At 53.6% G+C, this 23,537-nt stretch overlaps 1 protein-coding gene and 1 long non-coding RNA gene across 13 annotated transcripts in view, besides 7 other annotated features; one reads left to right on the top strand and one right to left on the bottom strand.

The window, feature by feature from the left end:
• Positions 318-417: a silencer, noted in NCBI's record as "silent region_18935". NCBI's record gives its function as "represses an Ori minimal core promoter by ATAC-STARR-seq in GM12878 lymphoblastoid cells {active_cell/tissue: GM12878}" and the evidence as "EXISTENCE:reporter gene assay evidence [ECO:0000049][PMID:35858748]".
• BLK (BLK proto-oncogene, Src family tyrosine kinase) overlaps positions 519-23,537 on the bottom strand; it is a 70,213-nt gene continuing 47,194 nt past the window's right edge. For 3 of the 11 annotated variants that reach the window (XM_011543824.2, XM_047422081.1, XM_011543825.4), the window contains exons 2-13: positions 21,771-21,894; positions 19,015-19,066; positions 16,993-17,086; positions 15,996-16,094; positions 14,856-14,959; positions 10,229-10,375; positions 9,634-9,786; positions 8,203-8,460; positions 7,080-7,156; positions 3,666-3,816; positions 2,008-2,139; positions 519-1,215 (exon numbers count right to left, since the gene is read on the bottom strand). In XM_011543824.2, coding sequence (XP_011542126.1) covers positions 1,010-1,215; positions 2,008-2,139; positions 3,666-3,816; positions 7,080-7,156; positions 8,203-8,460; positions 9,634-9,786; positions 10,229-10,375; positions 14,856-14,959; positions 15,996-16,094; positions 16,993-17,086; positions 19,015-19,066; positions 21,771-21,893 — 1,596 coding nt within the window. In that variant the 5' untranslated portion in view covers position 21,894 and the 3' untranslated portion in view covers positions 519-1,009. Of the gene's footprint in view, positions 1,216-2,007; positions 2,140-3,665; positions 3,817-7,079; positions 7,157-8,202; positions 8,461-9,266; positions 9,533-9,633; positions 9,787-10,228; positions 10,376-14,855; positions 14,960-15,995; positions 16,095-16,992; positions 17,087-19,014; positions 19,067-21,770; positions 21,895-23,537 lie in introns of those variants that run through there. The other 8 variants (NM_001715.3, XM_047422082.1, XM_047422083.1 and 5 more) reach the window with 5 other exon arrangements.
• Positions 1,698-1,747: an enhancer, noted in NCBI's record as "active region_27030". NCBI's record gives its function as "activates an Ori minimal core promoter by ATAC-STARR-seq in GM12878 lymphoblastoid cells {active_cell/tissue: GM12878}" and the evidence as "EXISTENCE:reporter gene assay evidence [ECO:0000049][PMID:35858748]".
• Positions 6,394-6,683: an enhancer, noted in NCBI's record as "active region_27029". NCBI's record gives its function as "activates an Ori minimal core promoter by ATAC-STARR-seq in GM12878 lymphoblastoid cells {active_cell/tissue: GM12878}" and the evidence as "EXISTENCE:reporter gene assay evidence [ECO:0000049][PMID:35858748]".
• BLK-AS1 (BLK antisense RNA 1) lies at positions 6,853-12,632 on the top strand. 2 transcript variants are annotated; one of them, XR_948956.3, is made up of 5 exons: positions 6,853-7,228; positions 8,457-9,052; positions 9,256-9,400; positions 10,915-10,974; positions 11,538-12,632. It is a non-coding gene; the product is annotated as a BLK antisense RNA 1 (long non-coding RNA). The 2 variants fall into 2 exon arrangements; XR_948955.3 differs by having other exon boundaries at positions 10,915-10,988.
• Positions 14,310-15,509: an enhancer, noted in NCBI's record as "CDK7 strongly-dependent group 2 enhancer chr8:11407118-11408317 (GRCh37/hg19 assembly coordinates)". NCBI's record gives its function as "activates an origin of replication core promoter dependent on BRD2, BRD4, P300/CBP, MED14 and CDK7 cofactors, with strong dependence on CDK7, by STARR-seq in HCT116 cells {active_cell/tissue: HCT116}" and the evidence as "EXISTENCE:reporter gene assay evidence [ECO:0000049][PMID:35650434]".
• Positions 18,411-18,460: an enhancer, noted in NCBI's record as "active region_27028". NCBI's record gives its function as "activates an Ori minimal core promoter by ATAC-STARR-seq in GM12878 lymphoblastoid cells {active_cell/tissue: GM12878}" and the evidence as "EXISTENCE:reporter gene assay evidence [ECO:0000049][PMID:35858748]".
• Positions 18,581-18,630: a silencer, noted in NCBI's record as "silent region_18934". NCBI's record gives its function as "represses an Ori minimal core promoter by ATAC-STARR-seq in GM12878 lymphoblastoid cells {active_cell/tissue: GM12878}" and the evidence as "EXISTENCE:reporter gene assay evidence [ECO:0000049][PMID:35858748]".
• Positions 18,831-18,990: an enhancer, noted in NCBI's record as "active region_27027". NCBI's record gives its function as "activates an Ori minimal core promoter by ATAC-STARR-seq in GM12878 lymphoblastoid cells {active_cell/tissue: GM12878}" and the evidence as "EXISTENCE:reporter gene assay evidence [ECO:0000049][PMID:35858748]".

The following is a 23,537-nucleotide window of genomic DNA, read 5'->3' as shown; positions in this document are numbered from 1 at the left end:
TATTGGCTCATCAGTGATAACAAATGCACCACCATTGCACGATGTTAGTAATAGGGGAAATGGGCGAGATATGGAGACTGTCTACTTAATTCCCACTTTTTTTTTCTGTAAACCTAACTGCTAAAAAAAAAATCGGTCTATTAAAAACAAAACAAAAACATGCCAAGTGAAGAGCCTCCATGTAGTGGGAGCCGCCGACGTTCCTCGCTTTTACGCCCCATCGTCACCCGATCCTTGTTTATGCACCTGGCCTGGGGACTCGGAGCCTCTGGAGCTGGGCTCGCGTCCTAGCCGTCCCCAAAGCGCCGGCCCACAGCGTCAGCCCCTGGCTTTTCCCCGCCCAGAGCTCCCGGCGCGGGCCCGAGCCACGGATTTATGAGGCCACAGCGCCCCCTGCGGGCCCCGCTCAACCGCCGGGAGCCCAGACCACGCGGGACTCCCTGGCTGCGCCACGCCTGCGCCCCGTGCTCGTCCTGCACGCGATGTCCAGCTTGTCACAGGTAACGACACGGAACAGCTCGAACGCTCGTGACTTTATTGCAGAAAAGCCCCGCAGTGCTGGAGCGCAGCCTAGGCTGGGGCTGCCCCTGCTGGCGTCCGCGGGACCCAGTCTGGCTTCTGTAGCGGGGCAGGGCGGGGTCCACGCAGGGCGCAGAGGCGGGGACGCGGCCAGCACGGGGGGTGCCCAGCACGGGGGCCTTACTTGATGACAGTCGCTTACCAGTCCTGAACACCTTACTGGGGCTTAGTACTCCGGATGACCGTGCGAGGTCACTGTTACAGCCCTCTACAAATGAAGCGGCACAGAGAGGCCGCGTAACTCGCCCGGGGGTGCAGTCGGTGAAGGAGTCCGTCCGGGGACCCCCTGCGAAGCTGCCTCTGCCCACTGGATTCCGGGTCTGAGAAAAGGGCACAGGCGACACCCCGCCTTCGCGGCCCGTCTGGGATGGCACGGAAGTCGGGGTCGTCCGCGCAGAGGTGGGCACGGGGCGCAGGCGGGCGCGGCCGGCTAGGGCTGCAGCTCGTACTGCCGCTCGGTGGCCGTGTAGAAGTCCTCCAGCACCGACTGCAGGAACTCGAAGGTGGGCCGCTCCTCGGGCCGGCTGCGCCAGCACTCGGCGATGACGCCGCGGTACAGCTCGGGCGGGCAGGTGTCGGGGCGCGGCATGCGGTAGCCGCGCTCCAGGTTGCGGATGACCTCGGGGTTGCTCATCCCTGCGGCAGAGGAGACCGCAAGCGGGGGTGAGGGGCTGGGGTCCTCGGTGGGTGGGGGGCCCTGAGCGTCCCGCGGGGCACAGTGGGCCCAGGCAAGGGACAGCAGTGCCCACAGTCCCAGACCACTTCTCCAGCCTCGTGCGTTGCCTGGCTGCCCGGTCTCTAAACAGCCCTTTATTTACTTTTTATTGCCTGGGGAATGCCTAGAAATGAGGCTGTAGATTTTCTCCTGAGTACGGGGCAGGTCCTCTGAAGATGGGACCCTCCCTCTCTTGATTACCTGTGACCACCAGGGGCACAGCCAAGCCCATCACTCATGGGCAGCTGCCAGGTGCACACAGCAGCAGGTGACCCGGAGCCTGCCCACCTGTGGGGGCCAAGTGGCTGGAGCCCTTCGACTGGGGCTGGGGGCTGTCGTCCACGATTCTGGCCACACAGGAAGGGGCTTTGGGGAATCCACTATGGGTGCAAAGCCAAGGTAGGCACAACCTGTCCTCAACTGAGAACAAGCCACTGGGAGTAAACTTGAGTTCGGATGTGCCCTTTGTCTTGATTTCAGTTTGAGGGACTCATTTGACCTCTGCTGGAGGAAGGAGACACAGCCCTGTGGCCCAGAGCAATAGTGATGCAGGGGGCAGAGCTCCACCCCAGATGCCATGCCTGGGTCTCCGTCTTCGCTCTGGGACTCACTCTGAAAAGAACAGGGCAGCCACAGGCACCAAGCACAGGCGACCTGCCATCAGGGCCGGCCGGGAAAGCAGGGAGCCGCGAGCTGCGGGGTGAGCCACCTACCTGGGTATGGCACCCGCCCATAAGTGACAACTTCCATCAGGAGGACTCCAAACGACCACACGTCTGCTTTGATGGTGAAGACCCCGAAGTGGATGGCTTCCGGGGCTGTCCACTTGATGGGGAACTTGGCCCCTGTGGGAAAAGCCATGCAAGCTTTGGGAGGCCACGGCCGGTGGCCCCTACCCTCCATCCTCACCCCTACCCCTGCTCCTGCTGTCCTTCCATCAAGCCCCCACTGCGGGGCCTCACAGGGCGGGGCGGCCAGGCATGGCGGGGGAGCCACTACCGCACACCAGGACACATGACCAGGTGAGTGCAGACACGACATCAGCAGCACAGAAAGACGATATGGACACCAATACCACACAGTCACCCACTTTGGTTCTTTAAAAAGAGAGCGATGGCCTCAATGGGCAGCCACCACGTTTCCACCTGGGATGGAAGGGGCCTGTTTCACCTTACAGGGGCCTTGTTTAATTTAAAAGACATGGCCTGGGCAAGCCATTTAAACCTGCGGGCGCCTCCGTTAGTCCCTTCCTGCAAAATGGAAATGGTGACACTTGTACCTCCGAGGGCCGCTATGAGGAAGAACTCACATCCGGCTGCCCTGTGAAGCACCTCAATGGCTGCAGCCCCGGCCAGCATTTGGAGCAGACCTCAGGGCTTGGCACTTCACAGCCTCCCCTGGCCTCCATTTCTCGGTCTCCCCAGCCAGCCTGAAGTTCCCGAGAGAACAAGCCATATCCTGTCTGCTTGTCATCTGACTCATAGGCTCAGCAGACACTGCTTGCTAGCTTGATAAATATATGTGACCCCTTCAGATTCTCTTGTGACGTAGATTTCCACCTCAGTTATATGCACAGAGTAAAACAGTGCTCCGTGGACACCCTAATACAGGTTGGTTTGCTGATCGCACATGAGAGCTGTGTTTCCCACAGTGTGCTCTGTGAAAGCCTAATTCCATGGAAGGTTAATAGGGACTATATAAAAATAGTATTTGGGCATGGCTTACACCTGTCATCCCAGCGCTTTGGGAGGTCAAGGCAGGCAGATCACCTAAATTCAGGAGTTCGAGACCAGCCTGGCCAACATGGTGAAACCCCATCTCTACTAAACATACAAAAATTAGCCAGGTGTAGTGGCACACGCCTGTAATCCCAACTACTTGGGAGGCTGAGGCAGAAGAATTGCTTGAACCCAGGAGGCGGAGGTTGCAGTGAGCCAAGATTGTGCCACTGCACTCCAGCCTGGGTGACAGAGACTCCATCTCAAAAAAAAAAAAAATAGTATTTGGAGCTCAAATTAGTTTGGGAGGCACTAGGTGAGGCAAACATAAACTGTTTCTTTGCTGCAGGACTTCTCAGTGCCTTTAATATGTTGATGTGCACTGGGAATCTCCAAGACAGGGAGTAGGGTGGACTGCTGTTTCTCCAAACCTACCTTATCCTAAAGCTGTTCCTCCATGGGAGGTCTCAGGGCACTACCATTCTGCTGAACACATTTGGGTAAATGAAGGAAATGCTGATCTAGAGCTGTAGAAACCGTATAGCCCTCAGGTGTCTTCCCTCAGGGCTGTGCTGGGAGAAGTTAAAGGCGGCTTTGAGGAGCTGGGAAAGATAAGGCCCTAGGTTTCCCTTGTGGTTAGGGGCTGTGCTTACCCTCTTGGGCCGTGTATTCACTGTCGATGATTCGAGCCAAGCCAAAATCAGCAATTTTGCAGCACAAGGCCTCAGACACCAGGATGTTGGCCGCCCGCAGGTCGCGGTGGATGGAATTCATGCGCTCAATGTATGCCATCCCTTCAGCAATCTGAGGGAACAGGCACATGGTGAAGGACAGCCTGGGGGCCTCCACGCCAAGACCGAGCCCACACTGTGTCCCCCGCACAGCCCCTGTGGGCTGCTGGGGAAGGAGCTGTTTCTTGGATGGAGTAGAAAGGTGACTGTGTTGCTCCTCAGCCGAATAAACTCCTCTCCTAGAAGCCCAGAACAGCAACGCAGCAACGTGGGCATCAGAGACACAGGGGCTACCTGTGCCCCTCCCCCTCCTCGTTCTCGCTCCACACAGCTGTGTCCAAGGGTCTGCAGAGATGGAAGATAGAAGAACACAGGCAGGAGAAAAGGAGAGGGAGGGAGAAGAGAAGAAATGGTAAGGAAGGAGGGGGAGGGGGAGCAGGAGGCAAGGACAGGCAGCTCTCACTGGCTGGCTGGAAGCACAGCTCCTGGAGCTGGAGGCCCTCGGGAAGTCGCTGACCTCTAGCAAGCTGCTTAACCTCCCCGAGGGGCCACAGTCCTGACATGGAACATGAGGGATGTGGTCTCCAGGGCAGGGGGTTGAGGCAAGCATTAGACGAGGTTGATTTGTGACCAAGAACCTCACCCAGCGCCTGCCCCGTGGGGGCACCCAGGGAGCACTGGCAGATCCAGGTGGACAGAGGCTGTGAAGAAGAAGAGACTTGTCTCTCCTCCCCTGATCACCAGCCTGGGCCAGGGATAGCAGCTGGTGCTACTTGGCACCTTTTAGCTGAGGAAACTAAGGCTTTATTCACCCAATCAATGGACGAAGAAACTGAGGCAGAAAGCAGAGACCCCATTTACCTCTTCAGACATGCGACTTCAAGAAGCCAGCACTAGAATTGATTCCACTTCTCCTTATGCTTGCATTTTGTTGGTTTATCTATGAATCCATCCATCTATCCATGCATCCATCCATCCATGCATCCATCCATCCACCCACCCATCCATCCATCAACACATCCATGCATCCATCCATGTATCCATCCATCCATCCATCTATGCATCCTTCCATGTATCCATCCATCCATGGATCCATCCATCCATCCACCCACCCACCCACCCATCCATCCATCCACCCATTCATCCATCCATGCATGCATCCATCCATCCATCCATCCATCCATCCATCCATGCATCCATCCATCCACCCACCCACCCACCCACCCACCCACCCACGCATCCACCCATCCATGCATCCATCCATCCCCTTGCTACACCATGCAATCAATACTCATTTACTAATATGGGACTGTGGGGAATATAAAACTGAGTACTAAATATATCTGGGCAGCATCTAACAGTACTCGTTCTGATAACTAATATTTATTGAACAGTACCAGAAATATATTTTAAAAAATGTTGAGTAGGGCCCAGATCTGCTTTCAAGAAGAAGCTGCCCAGATCTGCTGAGCAAGAACAGTGCTTCCGGGAACACCTGAGCTAAGGGCTCTCTGGCAGTTTCTTGTCCAGGGAAACCTTCATAGAAATGACATTACGCTTGAGCCATGGATGATGATAAGGATTCTGCCAGGTGGGAAGTGTTCAAGGCTTCCTGGGCAGAGGAGGTAGAGGGGTGGCGAGGCATGGGGCATGGGAACCGGTGGCATCTGGCTGCAAAGTGGGGCCCGAGGGATTGTGATTGCAGGGTTCCTGTGGGGTTGGCCAGATCTGGCCTTGGAAGAAAGGTCTGGCGAGACTTTGCATGGCTTCCTATGGAGTAAGAAAAGAAGAGCCCAGAAGGGCCGGGTGTGTGTCTGCTCATGTGTGTGTAAGTTTGCGTGTTTGTGTGTGTGTTTGTGTGTGTGAGTTTGTGAGTTTGTGTAAATGTGTTTGTGTGAGTTTGTGTTTGAGTCTGAGTCTGTGTATTTGTGTGTCTGTGTGAGTTTGTGTGTGTGAGTCTGTGTGTCTGTGTGTGTGTCTGTCTGTGTGTGAGTTTGCGTGTCTGTGTGAGTCTGTGTATGTGTTTGTGTTTGTCCGTGTGTGTGTGAGTCTGTGTTTTTATGTGTGTGAGAGTGTGTGTGTGTACATGTGTGCTTAGAGAGCCATTGGCATGGTCAGCATGTGGTTAGAGGCTGCCCTTCTGGGAAGTTCTGATTTTCTGGCTCCTCACCCCCGATTCTGTGGCTACATCCAGGTATTAAACTCCGATGGCTTTTCACATCCTTTGCCCCTGGGTCACACGAGATTTCCCAAGGGGGTGTAGTGGGGATTGAATAGGAGACAGCGGAGGGTGAGAGAAGGAAGGGGAAAGGAAGCAGCAGCAGTGGGCAGGCTTATCACTGCCCTGGGGTTTGAAGCCGGTTACCAGCACTCATTTTCCAAAACCAGCCTGCCCAGATGGCTGTCTGCCCACCTCAGCGGAAAAAGGCGTTGTGGCATCAGTTCCTGCAGCGGCGCTACTGGGTAAGGCTGGGCGAGGGGCGAGGTGGGAGGGCTGATGTGGGCGGTGGGTGGGAGCGTTTCCTCTCGGTGGCAGCTGTATGTGTGTGTGTATGTGTACGCACGTGTGTGCCTCACAGGCTGACCACAGACCAAAACTTTTCTGCTGAGAGTTCCAGTTTTAACAGGGCCACCAGATGTGCTTCCTGCCAGCTAGAGCTCTCGGCTAAAACCCTCCTCTCCACTCTGCTCTTCACCCCATGGAGTCCAGAAAGTTCTGCATGTGAACGTGAGGGACACTGAGGACCAGTCCTGGGTAGCCAAGGAGGTCCAGCACTCGCAATTCCCTGGTGGCAGAAGGTGGGGCTGTCCTCCAGGGCTCAGAGAAGTCATGTCCCTGGCATCTGTGTGTAGCTCAGGCCTGCCCATCAGCCTGGGGTCGACGCCAGGGCTGTGCAAAGGCTGAGGGCCCCTGGGATGGGAAGTCCTACAGGAGATGTTTGTGGGCACCATCTAAGGAAGAGATGAGGTCACAACAGAACACACTTGCCTGCCGGGTTCAATGGAACTCTTGCTAACTCTGTGTGTTTCCCATGACATTCATTCGCCCTCTCTTCCTTCGGAACAGAATAGCCTCATTCCAACACAGCAGCCCGGGTCTAAGGCTCCATTCCCTGGGCTCCCTCACAGCTGCGTGGGGCAGGAGGCACAGTGGCCAGGGTTTGCAAGTCCAAGTGCAGTGGGTGACCTTGGGGATATCTGCCTAGAGGAAGGTGGCCTTCAGTACCCCCTGACTTCTCCTGCTGGCTGAGAGGATGGGGTGGTAAGGCACGAGCAGCCATTGTGGGCAGCAGGTGGCACATGCCGCCCTTTCTCTGCACCTGGTACTTCACCAACCTGCGCCGACATGTCAATCAGCCTTGGGAGTGACAATCTGCTCCCTTCATCTGTCTTCAGGAAATCCAGCAGGCATCCTAAGAAAAGAGAAGTTGCAAGTGCCCTTCTGCAAAGTGACCCGCCCCTGGTGGTGCCAGCCTCTCTCTGGTGTGAGTGGCTCCCCATGGGCGCGGGAAGTGGGAGTTTGCACCCTCAGATCTCTCGGTGCATCAGGAAGGATCTACCTACTGCTGCCGAGTGCCTTCCACTTTACAAAATGCCAGTCTCAGCACCCCGGGAGGCAGCCAATATACCAGCAGTTGCCCAGAAGTTAGGTTTCAGCCAGGTGCAGGGACCTGTCTGAAGTCACCCAGCCGGGAGCTGGGAGTGGGACCCCAGTTCTGACTCGAAGTTTCATGCCCCTTCTTGTCTTTCCCCCCGTGTTGGCCTCGCTCCCTTGATCCCTGCTGGCAGACACCCTCTGCCTCTGAGGACCAGGCATCAGCAAGAAAGCACCAGAATGGAGAGAACTGTCCCCCAGGTTTGGTGCAGGGGACAAATGCAGCTCCCCCTGGAATCAGAAAGCTGGGAGGGATGGATGCTTGCCCTAGGGGCAGGCTAGAGGCACCCCCAGCACAGCCTCCGACCGGGGGCCCCTTGGTGACAGTTGTTAGGGAGCTATATCAACATGGGCATGTTAGGATCCTATAGGAGCAGTGTGCGGTCAGGGTCATAGGAGGGTGAGAAAGTGGCATGAGAACTTGGCCACGCCGTGGACCTCAGAGGCCATCAAGCCCAACCTCTCTGGCCATCCTTGTAAAATATTCACACAGTTGTAAATGGTTGCATGACCAGGAGGCAGGAGACCTGGATCTAGTACTGTCCCTGCATGCCTGGCCTGGTGTTCGTCTGACTTTGCAATGCTCTGTCCCTCCCAGCAGGCATCAAAGAGTGCTAGGCACAGAAGATGCACTCCAGAAATGCTGTCTGAACTGCTCCTGGGCTGAGAACATGGCTCTGTCAGAACCACTTCACCCTCCTGTTTCTCACCCTCCCTCTGTCCCTCCCCCTCCCTCCATCCCTCCCTGTCCCCACACCGTGCCATGCCCTAGATCTGCAGGACCCCCTGGCCTGGTGAACCCACCGCAGCGGACCCTCCTCCTCCTGCTAAGCCCGGCCCTCCCGCCTCGCTCTGAGGATGCGGCTCTGCGGGGGGCACCACCTCTGGCCATGTACTCGGTGACAATGTAGATGGGCTCCTTGGTGACCACTGCGTAGAGTCGGACCAGCCGCTCGTGCTGCAGAGCCTTCATCACGTTGGCCTCACCCAGAAAGGCTTCTGGAGACATGGTTCCCTCCTTCAGCGTCTTAATGGCCACCTTCATGTTGTTTTTGTAGTAACCTGAGCCCGGGGGAGTGAAGAAGCCAATCAGAAGACAGAGAGCTTGCTCGGAGGTGATCCCTTAACCAAAATCGGGGTAAGTGCCCAGGTGCCACCCCATTCCAGGTGCCAGAGCTGGAACATGCAGTTCCGGAGGCCATGGTTGTGTGGTGCCTACCTTGCGTTCCAGGTCCCTTCTATATGGGGCCTCAGGCAGTGGAGGAATGTACCCTGCCTGGGGGGCATTTCACCTATTTGCCCCACACCCTGGGCCTGTGTCCTTCTGTCCTGCACGGAACCTGTGTCCTTCCCCCACCCCTCCCCTACATAATGAGTCTCTTCTATCACACAATAACTCCTTGGTGGAAATAAGCACACAGCCTGGGGTACACTGGGCAGGAGGATGACGCATGGGGGTCTCCTTCCCTCCTTCTGAAGCCCCATGGCGATCCTGTCCCACTCCTTAAACTATCTGTATCTCCACACTCTCCCTGTACTCCATGAAGTCCCCTGAAGGGCAAAAGACAACTCTACTTGCTTTTCTAGAGGACATGGGCCTTGGCAGGGACCTGGGTACAGCTCCTGCCAAAAGCACCGTGGGCATCAGCCCCAGGTAAGGGAGCACTCATGGACCAGCCCCAGGTAAGGGAGGACTCATGGACCAATCCAGGGATAAAACGGAACACGAGTTTTATATCCTGGTGGGCGGGGGGGGGAAGGGGGCAGGTGTCAGCAGCGATGGAAATGTGAGGACACCAGGCCTGGAGCTTCAGTGACTTGGCCAAAGTCCCACGGCTGCCCTCGGTGTGCACTCAGGCTCTGGAACATCATGGCTCATCACGTTTAACCTCCTGTTTCCATCTGGGTGATGAAAAGCTAAGGGGAGTTAACGCGCCGCTGCAGCTCATTGTCAAAGCCAGCTTCAGGCAGAGAACGAAGGAGGGAGCGACTTCGGGGCTGGGTGAGCTGGATTCTGTTCCTGCTCTGCCACCACCATAAGCGGTCCCAGCTGTTACAACGCGGCTCTGCACCTCCACTTCCTCCTCTGTAAAATGAGTGTCCTCGCCTCTGTCCTCGCTCCCTCTCAAGACTTCTGGGGGAGGGATGACACGCTATGAAAATGCTGAACCTGGACTCAGGATGCGGCGCAGGTGGAATGGGGGGAGAAATGCTCCCACGTGTGCACACACTCACCCATCCAGACTTCGCCGAATTGTCCAGACCCGAGTTTCCTGACCAGCCTGAGAGACTGCCGGGGGATCTCCCATTCATCCTGGGCCCAGGGATTCTGCGGGGCCGGGCGCACACAGGGCAGGGTCAGCCTCTGGCATAGACCATCCCCCTTCTCTGCATTAGGGAAGAAAAGACAGGGCTGGGGGTTACCAGAGCAGCCAGGCTCTACCTTGGGAGCTGTATCATTCCTAGCTGGCCCTCCACTCCCCAGCCACCCCACCCCCTGCATGGGTGTGTGCACACGCCTGCACATGCACACACACTCAACTCTTTCTCTTCGTTTGCGCAAAGCAGGGCATGCTATCTCTAAAATCGACCTGCTCACTCTAAGACTGAAAATGCTTGCTACTCTCTAAGGGGTTCCCTGCTGAGCCAGGAGAGGGAATTAGGGCCACCAATTCCCGGTGCTCAGAGTTGCTACCTCCTTAGGCCTAACTTTGGGATAATCTTTCCATCCCCCAAGGTGGCACCAATGACTCACACAATTGGGAATCTTAGCGAGAGATCCAGGGGCTCTTGGCACAAGTCCCTGCCCCCATTGCACGCCCCCTCTTACTAGAATAGTGCTGCACCAGGGCCTGGAGCGAGGGGAAGGTGATCCGGGGGGAGATGTAGTAGCCCCCTTCATCCAGGCAGCGGATCTTATAGTGCTTGATCAGCTCCCCCTGGGTGGTGACATCCTTCACAGACAGGGAGAAGGCACCTGGAGGGTTCATGAAGACACACACGAGAAGTAAGGCACAAAGACAAAAAACGGGACTGGGATTTGGGCCTCATTTTAAAGCTTTGAAAAAAGTTCCCCAATTCTGTTCTTCATTATCAGCACTCCCTCCACAAGTTTCCTTTCCCTGCATCTCAACCTCCATGCTTTTGGAAGCCTCCCCTGTAAGTTCCATCTGACTCTGACCTTGGCATCCCCCCACTATCCTGCAAAACTCAGCCAGGGAATCACAGAGCCCTGCGGCAGGCAGCACAGTTTCTCAGCAATCATGTAGGTCCCCACTTGGGCATCTGGTCACTCGGGGACCCTTTGTCATGGACTATTGAGAAATCTAGTCTCGTTGGAGTGACTAGGGGCTTTATTTTCTGGCTAAAGAGGGTATCTCTTACTCCTACAAGCAGATAGCCATTCACAGCTGCAAGTACCCATGTCCATGGCGGACACCGTAATAAGCTATGCCCAGGGGCTCTGTTCAAAGTCATTTGCTGCCTGTTACATACACCTGTTATTTTGTCTTCTAGGTTAATGTTTTCCCGCAGGCAAGTGGTAGCAGATGTCAAGGGTTAAGGACAATTTAGGAGGTAAGAATTTCCAGGTAAGAAACGCTTTTCCATGAACTTGATGTTTTTATAAAATGCGTCTGTCCAGCTACTTGGGTACCATGACCTTACCCCGCCCCTTACCCATTATTTGGGAGATGAGGACGCTGGGGCCCAGCAGAGTTCGCGGCAGGCTGGGGGGCTCCCGGTTCCCCGAGTCCGCGCCTACCTCGAGCAGTACCACGCCTCCCCGCCAGGGGTCAGGCACGGACCCCTCGTTCTCGTTGTGGACGCTTGGTTTTCCGCGGTCCTGTTTGACTTAAGGCTCTTTCCTCTCCTGTCAGTTCCCCTGCCTCAACCCCCTTCCATCCTCCAGTTTCCCTCAGCCAATGTGCCTCTCTCATCACCTACTTGCAAAAGGACACCCAGAGGCGTACGCCATGCTGTTGCCACAGCCCCTCCACACCCCCACCCCAGCCTCAGCCCAGAGGCTGCAAACTGTCTCCCCGACCCTGCCCGGGTGCAGCTGTGCCCCCAGTCTCTAAGGAACCCGAGCCTGGCCTTAGGGAGTTCATTCATCAAGGGCTTTTCTCTCCATTTTGTAGGCTGCACTTGTGTCGGGTGCCTCGGGCGATGAGCCCAGGAGCCCGCTCTCCACGCAGTGACGCTTCCCAAGCTGGTGCTTTAGACCCCTCACTTGCCTGGCTGCTCTGAGGCCCCGTCCCTGATGGCTTCTGACAATTTGGTGTCCTTTGTAAAGACGACCTCAGATCCTATCAGCTTCAGTTTCACAAAACCTGGATCCCCTGCCTCTGTGGTATGTCTGGACTGCCCTGGGCAGGCAGGGCCTGGCTCTGAGATGAAGATTTCTCAGCACTGAAGGACCGCCTGCCTTTGAGCTGTGAAACTAGTCTATCCTCACATAGACACCAGTAAACTGAGGCTTGAGAGGCTCAAGGACACCCCGGAGGCCACGAAGGGTAGAACTCACTCCCCTGCTTCCATCCCTGTCTTGCATTCACTGCTGTGGCTCGGAGAAGCAGAGGGGTCTTGCTTTGGAGTTGTGTGTGTGTGTGCATATGTACGTGTAAGGTGTGTACATGTGTTGCACACGTGTTCATTGCATCTGTGCATATGTGCACATGTATATGTGTGCGTGTGTGTGTATATGTGCATGCGTGGACATGTGTATGTGTTTGCATGTGTATGTGTGCACACATGCCTGTGTATGCACATGTGTGTATATGTGTGCATTTGTGCATATGTGCATGTGTGTTCATGTGTGCATGTGTATGTGCGTGTGGTGGTGATGATGGTTGAACAGTCCTGCAGCCCTGGTCCCATATGGCCTATTCCCAGCTTGGACTGGCTTCCTGGGGTGGACATGGACAGGAAAAGATGCCAGACTCATAGAGAACCCCTTCTTCCTCCACACCAGATTGGGCAGGGGGTGGGGAGGCTTTCACCTTAGCAATAGGCAATGGTTGAAATATCATTTCCAGGGTGACATGACATGATGTTTGGGATTTACTTCGAAAGAACAGGGGTGGAGCGGGAGATACAGATGAAACAAGACTGGCTCAGTTGATAATTGTTGAAGCTGGCTGTTGGGTACCAGGGGTTCCACTAAACTATTTTCTCTACTTCTGTGTATGTTTGAAATGTCCTGGAACAACAATAAAACACTTATGTCATCTCCAGTGATTCCCAAATTATTTCTTGTACAGAGGTGCTCTGCCACAAAAATGAAATAGTGACAATATCCAATATGAATATAAATATAAAATGCATATATCTATGTGTATGTATATGTATGTATATGCATTCATTGGCATATTCCAAGAAATCCTGCACAGAGCACCCCAGCTTTCCAATGCACCCTTCCTGCTCCCCAACCTGGTCCTGCCCCTTTGTGGGGCACCAAGGCCTCATGATGTCCCCAGAGAATCACAGGGTGCTATGACAGCTTTTCATACTCTGGGTTTCCACTCTGGCTGCTGTTCTTGAGCCACAGATGGAACCAATGGACAGCCCAAGGGTGCTCCCACCAGGTGACAACTCTGTCCATTCTCATCGCCCCAACCACAGGGAACCAGACTCATATTCCAGACACTCTCTCTCCCTTTCCTCCTCTGATGTCACTGTCACCATCTCCTCTCCAGTTAAAATTGGCTACAAGGCTGTACCTGGTCCCTGTGGACAGCTTCCTGATGAGCAAAGCATTCTTCATACTGCCTGGGAAGCCCCTGGGTCACCCTAGCTTGCCACGTTGTAGAGCTTGGGAAGCCTCTCAGCCTCTTAGATGATGTGGTCACTGGTGCTTTGGGCTCTGATGCTTACTGTTGGCCCCCAGCAAGTCACTTCCTGTTTCAGGGACTCCCTTTCCTCATCTGTCAAGTGGATTAGTATCTTACAGACGAAAAGCTAGTGGCCAGTGAGCACCAGGGACCATAATAGGGTTCGGTGCAACACATGCATTAACAGCCCCAAACTGGAAACAACTCAATGCCCACAACATGAGAATGGCTAACTTGACTCTGGAATGGTCACACCCGGGATTCTGTATAGCAATGAACATGAACAGGCTCACCATCCTCAACCACATGAATGAATCTGTTACTGGTTGAATCATGTGCGCTCCCAATTCATATGTTAAAGTCCTAACCCTCGGTCCTGAGAATGTGGCTATATGTGGAGACAGAGCCTTTAAAGGGGTGATTAAGTTAAAATGAGGTCATATGGGTGGGCCCTAATCCAAATTGACAGGTGTCCTTACAAGAAGAGATTAGGACACAGACATGCATGGAGGGACGGCCACGTGAGGACACAGAGAAGACGGCCATCGGCAAGCCAAGGAGAGAGCTCCCGGGAGGAGCCAACGCTGCTGACACTTTGGTCGTGGACTTCCAGCCTCCAGAGCTGTGAGATAATAAGCTTCTGTGGTGGAAGCCACCCAGTCTGTGCCACTTTGTTACGGCAGCCCAGGAAACTAACATAGAATCCCACAAACACTGCTGAGTGACAGAAGCAAGACACACAGAAACAAAAACAGTGATTCTATCTACATCAAGCTGAAAAAACAGACAAGACATGGTGGCGAAACCACAGAGAAGAGCAAGGAAGGATTTCCATCCAAGTCAGGACAGCAGGTAGCTCTTGAGGGTGGGGGTTGAATCAGGAAGGAGCCCAAGTGGGGGAGTGAGGGGGCTCCTGGTGGTCTGGGATGCTCTTTCTCTTGGCTGTCATTACACAGGGATTTGTTTATTATTACCCTATATGATTTAGAATTACACATTCATACTTCATGCAAGCTTTATATGTGTTTTATATTTTACACCAAAAAAATTAAGAAGGAAAGAAAGCCAAATGACAGAGAAAGAGAGAAAACCCCTGAGGGTGATGGCAGCTGTTTTGCTCAGTCAGTGGATTTGAACTCATGAGTGTCTAGACTGGCATGGGCTCCCCTCAATTACCACCCTCTTCTCTTACATCACGGCACAGGCCACTTCCTAACATATGCTACCTGCAGCCTCTGGCTGAGATGATCTTGAAGGATTCTTTGAGCTCCCCCTAATCCTTGATTCCAAAGAGGCTGGTGGTTAAGGGCTCAGGGTTCCCCCTTCCCTGGCCCCCACTGGCCTCGGTGTTCCTGCTGACTGGGCAGCAGGGCCAGTCTGGCGTGGGACCACCCCTGTCCACCCGGCTTCCTGTGCCCAGGTGGTTTCCAGCCGGGACAGGGAGGACTGTGTGGACAGCCCCCATGTCAACTCCCGGGCAGGGCCTGAATTGGGAGGGACACAAGCCCGGAAGCTGCTGGTTCTCCTGGCAGTCACCCCTTCCCCTCTCACTCCAGGGCCAGGCCTCTGGAGGCGCCTTCCCGGGAGGAGCAGGGCAAGGAAGGCAGGCAAAGCCACCAAGCCTACCTTTGTTGGTTTCACTCTCTCTGATAAGAAAGGAGCCGGCCTTGTTGATTGGAGCAAGAAGCTGCCTCTCAGCCTCCTTCCGACCCTGTGATCTAAAGAACCACCTGGAAAACGGCAGGAACAGGTGAAACTCAGAGCGACCCTGCTCCTCGGAGTATTCCCACACAGCCTCCCTCCTGCACTGCCTGTCCCCAAGAAATAAAAATCTAGCATTTCTGGTCCCAGTCGGCCCTGAGCTGCTGCTCCTCACACCGTGATGGAGTCAGTGCCCTCTGCCCCGCTGCCCTTCCAGTTCCGCTTCCTGTCAGCCCTGGACTCACTGTTTTCCTAGAACGAAACAAGAACACTAGTTGGTTGACCTTTGTTAATTTTGCTTTGGAAAAATGCCCCTGATCACTCTCTCCAAAGCACAGCTGCGTATCACAGGCACGTGCCTCCTCCTTGCAGTCTGAGATCTGAATTAGGCAAACTGCCGAGACTCTCTGAGCAGGGACCCCAGTATGTCCCCTTCGGTATGGGGTTGTTCTGTGCAGGACAGCCCCACGGTTCCCCACACTGTTCCAGGGAAAGAAGCGGGGCCCACAGTGTCCAGAGAAGACTCGTTGCTGGGCCTCAGTCCTCAGGCAGAGCTAGTCCCTGTGAGCAGATTCGTGGGGGCTCTGGCTGGCCGAGTCCGAAATTCCCAGTGCCATGGGGACATGGGAGAAGATGGGGGCTGGGGGATTAGAAGATTGGGAGTATTAATCAGTTCTGAACAACGCCACCCTCCTGGGAGCCCCCGAGGGCTGAGCCCTGAGTCCTGCCCATGGAGGCTGTAGGGGAGGGGATGCTGGTCATAGTGCCTCCCTGGTAGCCTTCGAGGCCATCAGACACTGGGGCCGGTTCCATCCAGGGGAGCCAGGAGAAGGACCGCTCTTGTTTAGCTGGGAAGAGCGGCTTGCTCAGTGTCACACAGCAGTCTGAATGTCGTCTGGAGCCAGCAGAGAGGCCTTTCCCAGCAGAGCTCATTTCCTGTCCCCTCTTTGCTAGTGCCTGCAGGCTCCCTGGTCAGTCCCACTCTGGCCCTGCCCTGCCTAACAGCCCAGGGAGCAGAAACAGTGACTGCATCTTGGCTCGAGGGGGGTTCCCGTGCCCACCTACCTTTCCATTTCCAGGCTCTCCACTCGGGCCACAAAGTTACTGGGCACATAGCCTTCTCTTCCTGTGACGAGTGACCTGGCCAGCCACCAGTCTCCAGTTCTAATGGGAGCAGGGGAAACAGAGATGAGATCATGGCCCCTGTAGGCCCGTCACTGGGCAGCTCTCAGGCCTCCTCAAAGTCATCTCTCCCTGGAGGGCAGAGAATCCGCAGGGGTAGAGAGTACGGCAGGCAGGAAGGGGCTTGTGCCCACTGCTCAGTGGTACAGTGGCTATCCGGGCAAGTTCTAGGGGGAAGAGCTTATCTACACAGCCTGACCAGCCAAGAGGGCACAAGGATCCAGCCAGCAGCCTTCCTCTTGATGAATGGGACGTGTTCAGAGCTTGGTGAGGGACTGGGGACAGGCTTGAGAAAAACACGGTTGGCGTGGACTGTATAGAATCAGCAGTCAGGACCTTCGTGAGCTTGGCTCAGGGCCTTTGGAGAACTTCAAGAACCAAATCAGACCCTCAGAGCTCCACAGGACAAGCCTGGCCACTGAGAGAGAGCTGACCTAGAAGGAGTTTCTGAGAAGGACATGGGAAATGAGCTAAAGCGGGATTGGTGTGTGTCATCAGTGTGGGCTCCTGTCTTGAAAAGGAGACAAATATGGACACAACTGGCTTAAATGCAAGGCTTTCACGGAACAGCCAGACCAGCCTGCATAAAGGACAAGGTCCACATGCCCAAAAGAGTCAGGAGGGCTGCATGGAGGCGGTGGCATGGAACGTGGACTTTGAAGGATGAGCAGGAGGTTGTGAATGGAAATTACTTCACCGGAAAGATTTTGGAGAGGAAGACAAAAGGGCCAAGTTCAAGAAAATGCTGGGGCCAGGGCTGGGGGCAGGGCGATGGAGAAGACTTCCAGGGTCAGCCATGGAGGATGTGGTGGGTGGAGAAAGGAGAGATGTGGGGGAGGGGGGTCCTGCAGGGACAGGGGATGGTGTCCTGGAACCTCACCCCTTCAGGACCTGTAGCTTCTCCCCCTTCAGCATCTGCAGGTCCCGATCATTCATAGCGGTGTAGTCATACAGAGCCACCACGAAATGCTTGTCTAAAATGAACAAGGGAGAGATGACCACCACTCAGGCCCACAAGCGGGAAGGTGGGGCTGGGGTGAGCCTGGCTACCAAGGAGGACAGGCTTCTGCTTGCCCACGATGGAAATGATGTTCTCACCCAGCACAGGCCCCCACCCCCAGCCCTGTGACCCCACCAGGGATGGGCTGCCCCCCAGAGCCCATCCTGTCCTCCGTTGTGGACCCACTAAGAAGCCCTATGACCTGGACAAGGCGTGTGTGAGGAAGCTGATGGCCAGAGGTCAGCCACAGGGAGGCAGCCACTGCCGGGCTGCTGGTGGCCTCAGGCCCACATTCGGACATAGTGCTGGGAGCCCTCATCTTCTTATTCTACACCTGCCCTCGGAGGCCCATAAGCCTCCTCTTATCCTTTTCCTCCTCTGCCCCGCCTGCCTCTATCCCCAGTAGGGGTGGTCTTGCCACGTGGCAGCTGGAGCCCTGGCCTCTCCACTGTCTGTGCCCAGAGCCCCAGCCACACTGTCTATGGCTGCCAGTGACCCTGCCGGGCCCCCCACCTTGCTGGCGGGCCCTGGATGGAAGGCAGGAAGAGGGCTCAGGAGCTTGGAGCACCATCTTCAAGTGAGCCCTGCTGTGACGCAGGCTCTCTGCACAGCTCTGGGAGCCACAGGACCCACCTGATGAAGGTCACCTGGAGAGCACTTAGCTTCCCCGGGTGGGGTGGCTCCGCTCTGTCACTGAGCTGAGTGTTGTGACCTCGGGCTGGTCACCTCTTCTCAGCAGGAAAGCGAGGGTCAGAATGGGTGACAGTGGTTCCCTGAAGTTTTAAGATTCAGGTTCTGCTCACAAGTGTGACAGATTCTGAGCTTTTCCAGGGAAGGGGTCGCATCTACCTGTTGTCACCCCTTCGCCATTCCTGGGACAGAGCTGGGCTCTGTGTGCTGAATGCCCAGTACACATCATATGAGCAGGTTAATGGGTGGGGCCCGGCTGGCCGAGGCATCCCTTCCCCATGCTGTGTGGACATGGATGATGAGGAGGCTGCGGGAAGTCACTTTGAAGGAGGCCACCCTCTTGGGAGTCCCCAGGGGTGGAGCCTCTGGCCCAGAAAGGCTGAGCTCATTCCCTACAGTACCCAGCAGGCCAGCCCACCAGAGCAGAAGTGGAGTCTAGGGGCCACGCACAGTGGCTCACGCCTGTAATCCCAGCACTTTGAGAGGCTGAGGCGGGCAGATCACCTGAGGTCAGGAGTTTAAGACCAATCTGGCCAACATGGTGAAACCCCCTCACTAGTAAAAACATAAAAATTAGCCCGGTGTGGTTGTGTGCACCTGTAATCCCAGCTACTTGGGAGGCTGAGGCAGGAGAATCTCTTGAACCCGGGAGGTGGAGGTTGCAGTGAGCTGAGGTTGGGTCACTGCACTGCAGCCTGGGTGACAAGAGCGAGACTCTGTCTCAAAAAAAACCAAGTGGAGTCTGGGGACCAGGTAGGGGCGTGGGTGGTTAGGTGGTCAGCAGCGGGACTCTCGAAGTGACTGGGAGCGGGAAACAAGAAGGTGCCCTCCACATAGAGCGGACAGGGGCTGGAGGCAAGGGCCTGGAGCCACTGGCCCAGCCCTTTGCGTTTGAGAGTTAGCATATTTTAAAACTTGGGTTTGATGATGCTGTGTGTCTTCCCTGGGACTCTTGTTTTTGTTCTTGTTTACAGTTTGTAAAGTCTTTCATGTTTTAAAAGTCCCACCCAGGCTCAGGCATACTGAAGAAACTTGTTCTTGGTTCCTGAAGAGACGCCCCAAGAGGCACAGAGCCGGGGCCTCTCTCAGCTTCCCCGTTTTCTCTTCTCCAGCCCTCAAGCTGCTCCTGACTCAACCTTTTTCCAACTCCACAAAGCTGCCACCTAGGGGAGAGGGCTGTGGAGCCTCAGCTTCCCAAACCACCCTTCTTACCTTCATCCAGGTGTTCATCGGGCGGTGGAGGAGTAAGGTGGTTGAAGACAACCTTGGGTAGAAAACACACACTTGAGTTATTTCAGTCCCTGCTGCGTGGGTGGGGCCTGGGGGTTGAGACTGCTGAGCCGGGCAGCCAGGGTATCTCCAGGGACCTACTGAAGGAGGAGAGGCAGCTGCCTGTGGGGGCTGCTCAGGGACATTCTGTACCCAGGGACCAGCACTACCCTCAGACAGACCCCCGCCCTCTGCTGCCTTTGCCCTGACCGCGCTGGGGGATGCCCCAATGTGGATATGAGACAGCTGTGGACAATGAGGGAAAGCCCAACCACTTGGGCTTAACATCCTGGCTCTACCATTACAAGATCAAACTGCAAACGGGTATTTGTTGACAAGAAAAAATATTTAAAAAGCATATTTCCCCAAAACTCGACAAACATATTTGTAGGTATATATCCTGTAGAGAAACTTCTGTGTATGTGTACAAGAGTGTACAAGGGAATGTGTACAAGAGGGCTCCTAGCAAAAATCATAATACATAAACAATTTTTTTTTGAGATGGAGTCTCGCTCTGTTGCCCAGGCTGGAGTGCAGTGGCGTAATCTCGGATCACTGCAACCTCCGCCTCCTCAGTTCAAGCAATTCTCGTGCCTCAGCCTCCCAAGTAGCTGAGATTACAGGTGCCCGCCATCACGCCCAGCTAATTTTTGTATTTTTAGTAGATACAGGTTTTCGCCATGTTGGCCAGGCTGATCTTGAACTCCTGGCCTCAAGTGATCCTCCCACCTCGGCCTCCCAAAGTGCTGGGATTACAGGCGTGAGCCATCATGCCCGACCGATACATAAACAATTTTAAAACGTGGAACTAACCCTCATGACAGAAGAATAAACAAATTACAGTATACTCAGGCAATAAAATTAATGAGCAACAGCCACGTGCATCAACGTCGATATGTTTCACATGCGTAACACGGAGCCACAACCCCAGTCTCAGAAGCATATGCGCTGTTTGATGTAGTTGATTTAAAGTTTACAACATGAATAATGAAACTAAATATCGTTTAGGGGTAATACATATGTGATAATATTAAAAAGCAAAGCTAAGGAATGATAAACAGATTCTGGGTATTGGGGCCTGGGGTGAAGGGTACAAACAGGGGAGGGAGGAGGGAGATTCAAAGGAACGAGTCTCTTTCTTGTCTGAAGTTGGGAGGTGGCTATACAAGTGTGCGTTTTGGTGTATTCTTTCAACCTGACATATGTTACAAATATTCTTTTCTTAATTCCATATTTATTGAACACAATTTTGAAGTAGCATTTTGCAAAATGATGTGCATGTATGTTTCTCTTAAAAATAGGAACACATGAAATGAACACACGGAAGAAGGGTCTCGAGGCAACTCTGGTGACTCTACATAGTGGAATAATGAGTAATTATAATTTTTTCCATATACATATTATGTGACTCTTTTAAGTGAAAAAAATTCCAGGTGCTACTACTTATTATCATATAATTTTGGGGAAATTACTCAATCAGTCTAAGTCCAAGTTTCCCCATTTGATCAATTATTTATTCAATAAACATCTTGTGGTTGTGCGCTGAGACTGGCGCTAAACTGGGACACAGATAGGTAAGATGCCTGGGTTCATCTAGGAAGTGGGATTAGTAATCCCCGTCTCCCCATCAGGTCCCTGTTAGGATAAAGAGATGACCACGTGGACATGTGGACAGCACAGGAGAGGGGGTCGCGGCAAGGCTCCCAACTGCCCCAAACCAAAAGGGGGTCACTGGTCAGGGAGTGGAGAGAGCACAAAGAATCATCTAAAAATGTATCTTCAGGCCCGGCACGGATGCTCAAACCTGTAATCCCACCACTTTGGGAGGCCAAGGCAGGTGGATCACCTGAGGTCAGGAGTTCAAGACCAATCTAGCCAACATGGTGAAACTCTGTCTCTACTAAAAATGTAAAAATTAGCCAGGTGTGGTGGCATGTGTGCCTGTGATTCCAGCTACTCAGAAGGCTGAGGTACGAGAATCACTTGAATCCAGGAGGCAGAGGTTGCAGTGAGCCAAGGTCCCACCACTGCACTCCAGCCTGGGCAGCAGAGCGAGACTCTGTCTCAAAAAAAAAAAAAAATGCATCTTCAGACATGCTGTAGCCATCAAAAGGAGCTAAGTGTTTTATAAACAAATCAAACTGCATGACTAGGAAAATGCATTCCCCAGCAATAAGACCTTTTCACTTGAAATTTCACTTTTTTTTTCCTTTGGAAAGTTTTCCTCATTTAAAATGCCCATGGGATTCCAGGAAAACTTAAGAGCCTGCTCGGGAGGTGAGGACAGGCACCCTCCTGTTTCATGATGCTTATCCCAGGAAAGCAGGCTCTTTGGAATGCCAGCAGCAATGCCACATAGGGGACAAGGGTCTCCAGGAGCTGCTGGGGAGAAGAGAGGTAGTAGCTGCAGCTAGATACCCGGATCCTTCCTTACGACACCCTCTCCCCAAGCTGACCTTTTTACATTTCTTTTTCTTTTCAAGGCTGCCCTCGAGAAATGAGCTCTGGCTAAGAATTATTGGGAGCTAACCAGGCCGGGTCCTGTGCGTGTTATATTGCATGGCACACCTGCTTATACATTGCAGATCGTTACATCCCTATCAGGAAGGCACTTTTGCTATACCCATTTTACAAACTTGGACATTAAGGCATAGGAGAAGTAAGTAATCTGCTCTTGGTGGGGGTGGGCAATCACTCACCAGGGGCGGCAGTGGCGGGGCGTCCTTGTCTTGGGCGCTGACCTTCAGGGGGCTCCATTGGCCCTTGTCCTTCTCTTTGATCGGCTTTTCCTTGTCCGGCTTTTTGCTACTTACCAGCCCCATCCTGTCGGAGACACACAGCAGACAGAGGACATGAGAGAGCGGGGCCTCAGATCCTCTGCACAGAGGGGATCCCTGGCCCCTTCCGGGAGGCTGGTTAGAAAGGTGGGGTGGAAGTGGGTGCAGCAAAGACCTCAAAGTCAGAACGTGGGTAGAAGCGGGTGGGTGAGCTAAATGGGTGTCCATCTTTTTTCGGGGGCCCATACAGCAGAAAGCACTGCATTTAGGACACAGAAATCCTCTGGCTGGAGATAACCGCTGGAAACCACTGGGGTGGATCCAGGTCCTCAGGTGACAGGAGCCTGAGCGGGAGGCCACGTGGTGTTCTAGAAAGAGCCCACCAATGTGTCTGGGGCTCTGGGTTTAGTTTTCATTTTGTCTCTGGCTGTGTCACTTGGGAAAGTGACATTTTCTCTCCGACCCATTAGCTCTTTGGTAAACAGCAGGGGCTTTGTTAGAAGATGACTAACGTTCTCTCCCTCTCAGATTTTTGGGTGAGACACTATATACATTTAGGACAGATTGATAGCACAGGCATCGAGGCCTAGCTGTGGCCTCACAGTAATATCAGGGGTCTCCTTAAAGGGGGGAAGATGTGGTCAGGTTTTTTTCTTTGGTAAAGAATTTTAGGATGGCAGATGTGGGACAGGCCCTTTTGACACCATCAACACCACCATGTTGTCACCATCCTCATTCCAGGGGCTGCTATTTATATGTTAAGGAGTTTGCTCAGGGTCAAACAACTGGCCCGTGAGAGCCAGCTCTGGAGTCCAGTCTGACCTGAGACCACTGCACTCCTGCACTTACATCGGGCTCTTCCTTGAGATGCAGACATCATAGAGAGGAAGCACCCAAGTCCCCACGCGTGTCAGAAGGGCGTGTTGTTAGTGGTGATTTCCTTTGGATGTACACACCATATTTCATCAATTCTAAGATGGACCTTTTTTCACTTTTCAATATCTCTGAACTGGGAGGTGTCTCACAATGGAGGATGCTTTGCAGTATAACTAGTAGCAGCATTTTTTTTCTCTTTTAGTGATACATAATTAAATGCTAGCCTTCCTATCAGTGGCGTCTTCGATTAAGTGAAACACAGTCATGCATTTCTTCCAGAGAGCTGAAAGCACATTCCTCATGTCATTGCTCCTCAAACCCACCTTGAAAAAGAAAACACTATAACAAATTTCGATATAGGACAGCAAGCCACAGAAGCGAAAAATTCACAAGTATGTTTTTTCAAGTATGCCTTACATACAGAACACATAATAATTCACAGTTTTAAAGACCAACACTTTTTATATCTAAGTATTTCTTTATGTGAGCTCAGATCAGCTTTACCACTAAGTGAATTATAGTGCCAGGGTTACAAGTATCACTTCAGTTTTCAGAGATTTAGGGTTTCAGAAGTTTGGATAAGAGATTATGGGTTTGGCTGGGCACGGTGGCTCACACCTGTAATCCCAGCACTTTGGAAGGCCGAGGCGGGCAGATCCCTTGAGGTCAGGAGTTCGAGACCAGCCTGGCTAACACAGTGAATCTCCATCTCTAGTAAAAATACAAAAATTAGCCAGGTGTGGTGGTGCAGGCCTGTAATCCCAGCTACTCAGGAGGCTGAGGCAAAAGAATCACTTGAACCCAGGAGGCGGA

The sequence above is a fragment of the Homo sapiens genome, chromosome 8 (genome assembly GCF_000001405.40).
Source record: "Homo sapiens chromosome 8, GRCh38.p14 Primary Assembly".
In the NCBI taxonomy this organism is placed as follows: Eukaryota; Metazoa; Chordata; class Mammalia; order Primates; family Hominidae; genus Homo; species Homo sapiens.
This window is presented reverse-complemented; position numbering and strand designations above follow the sequence as displayed.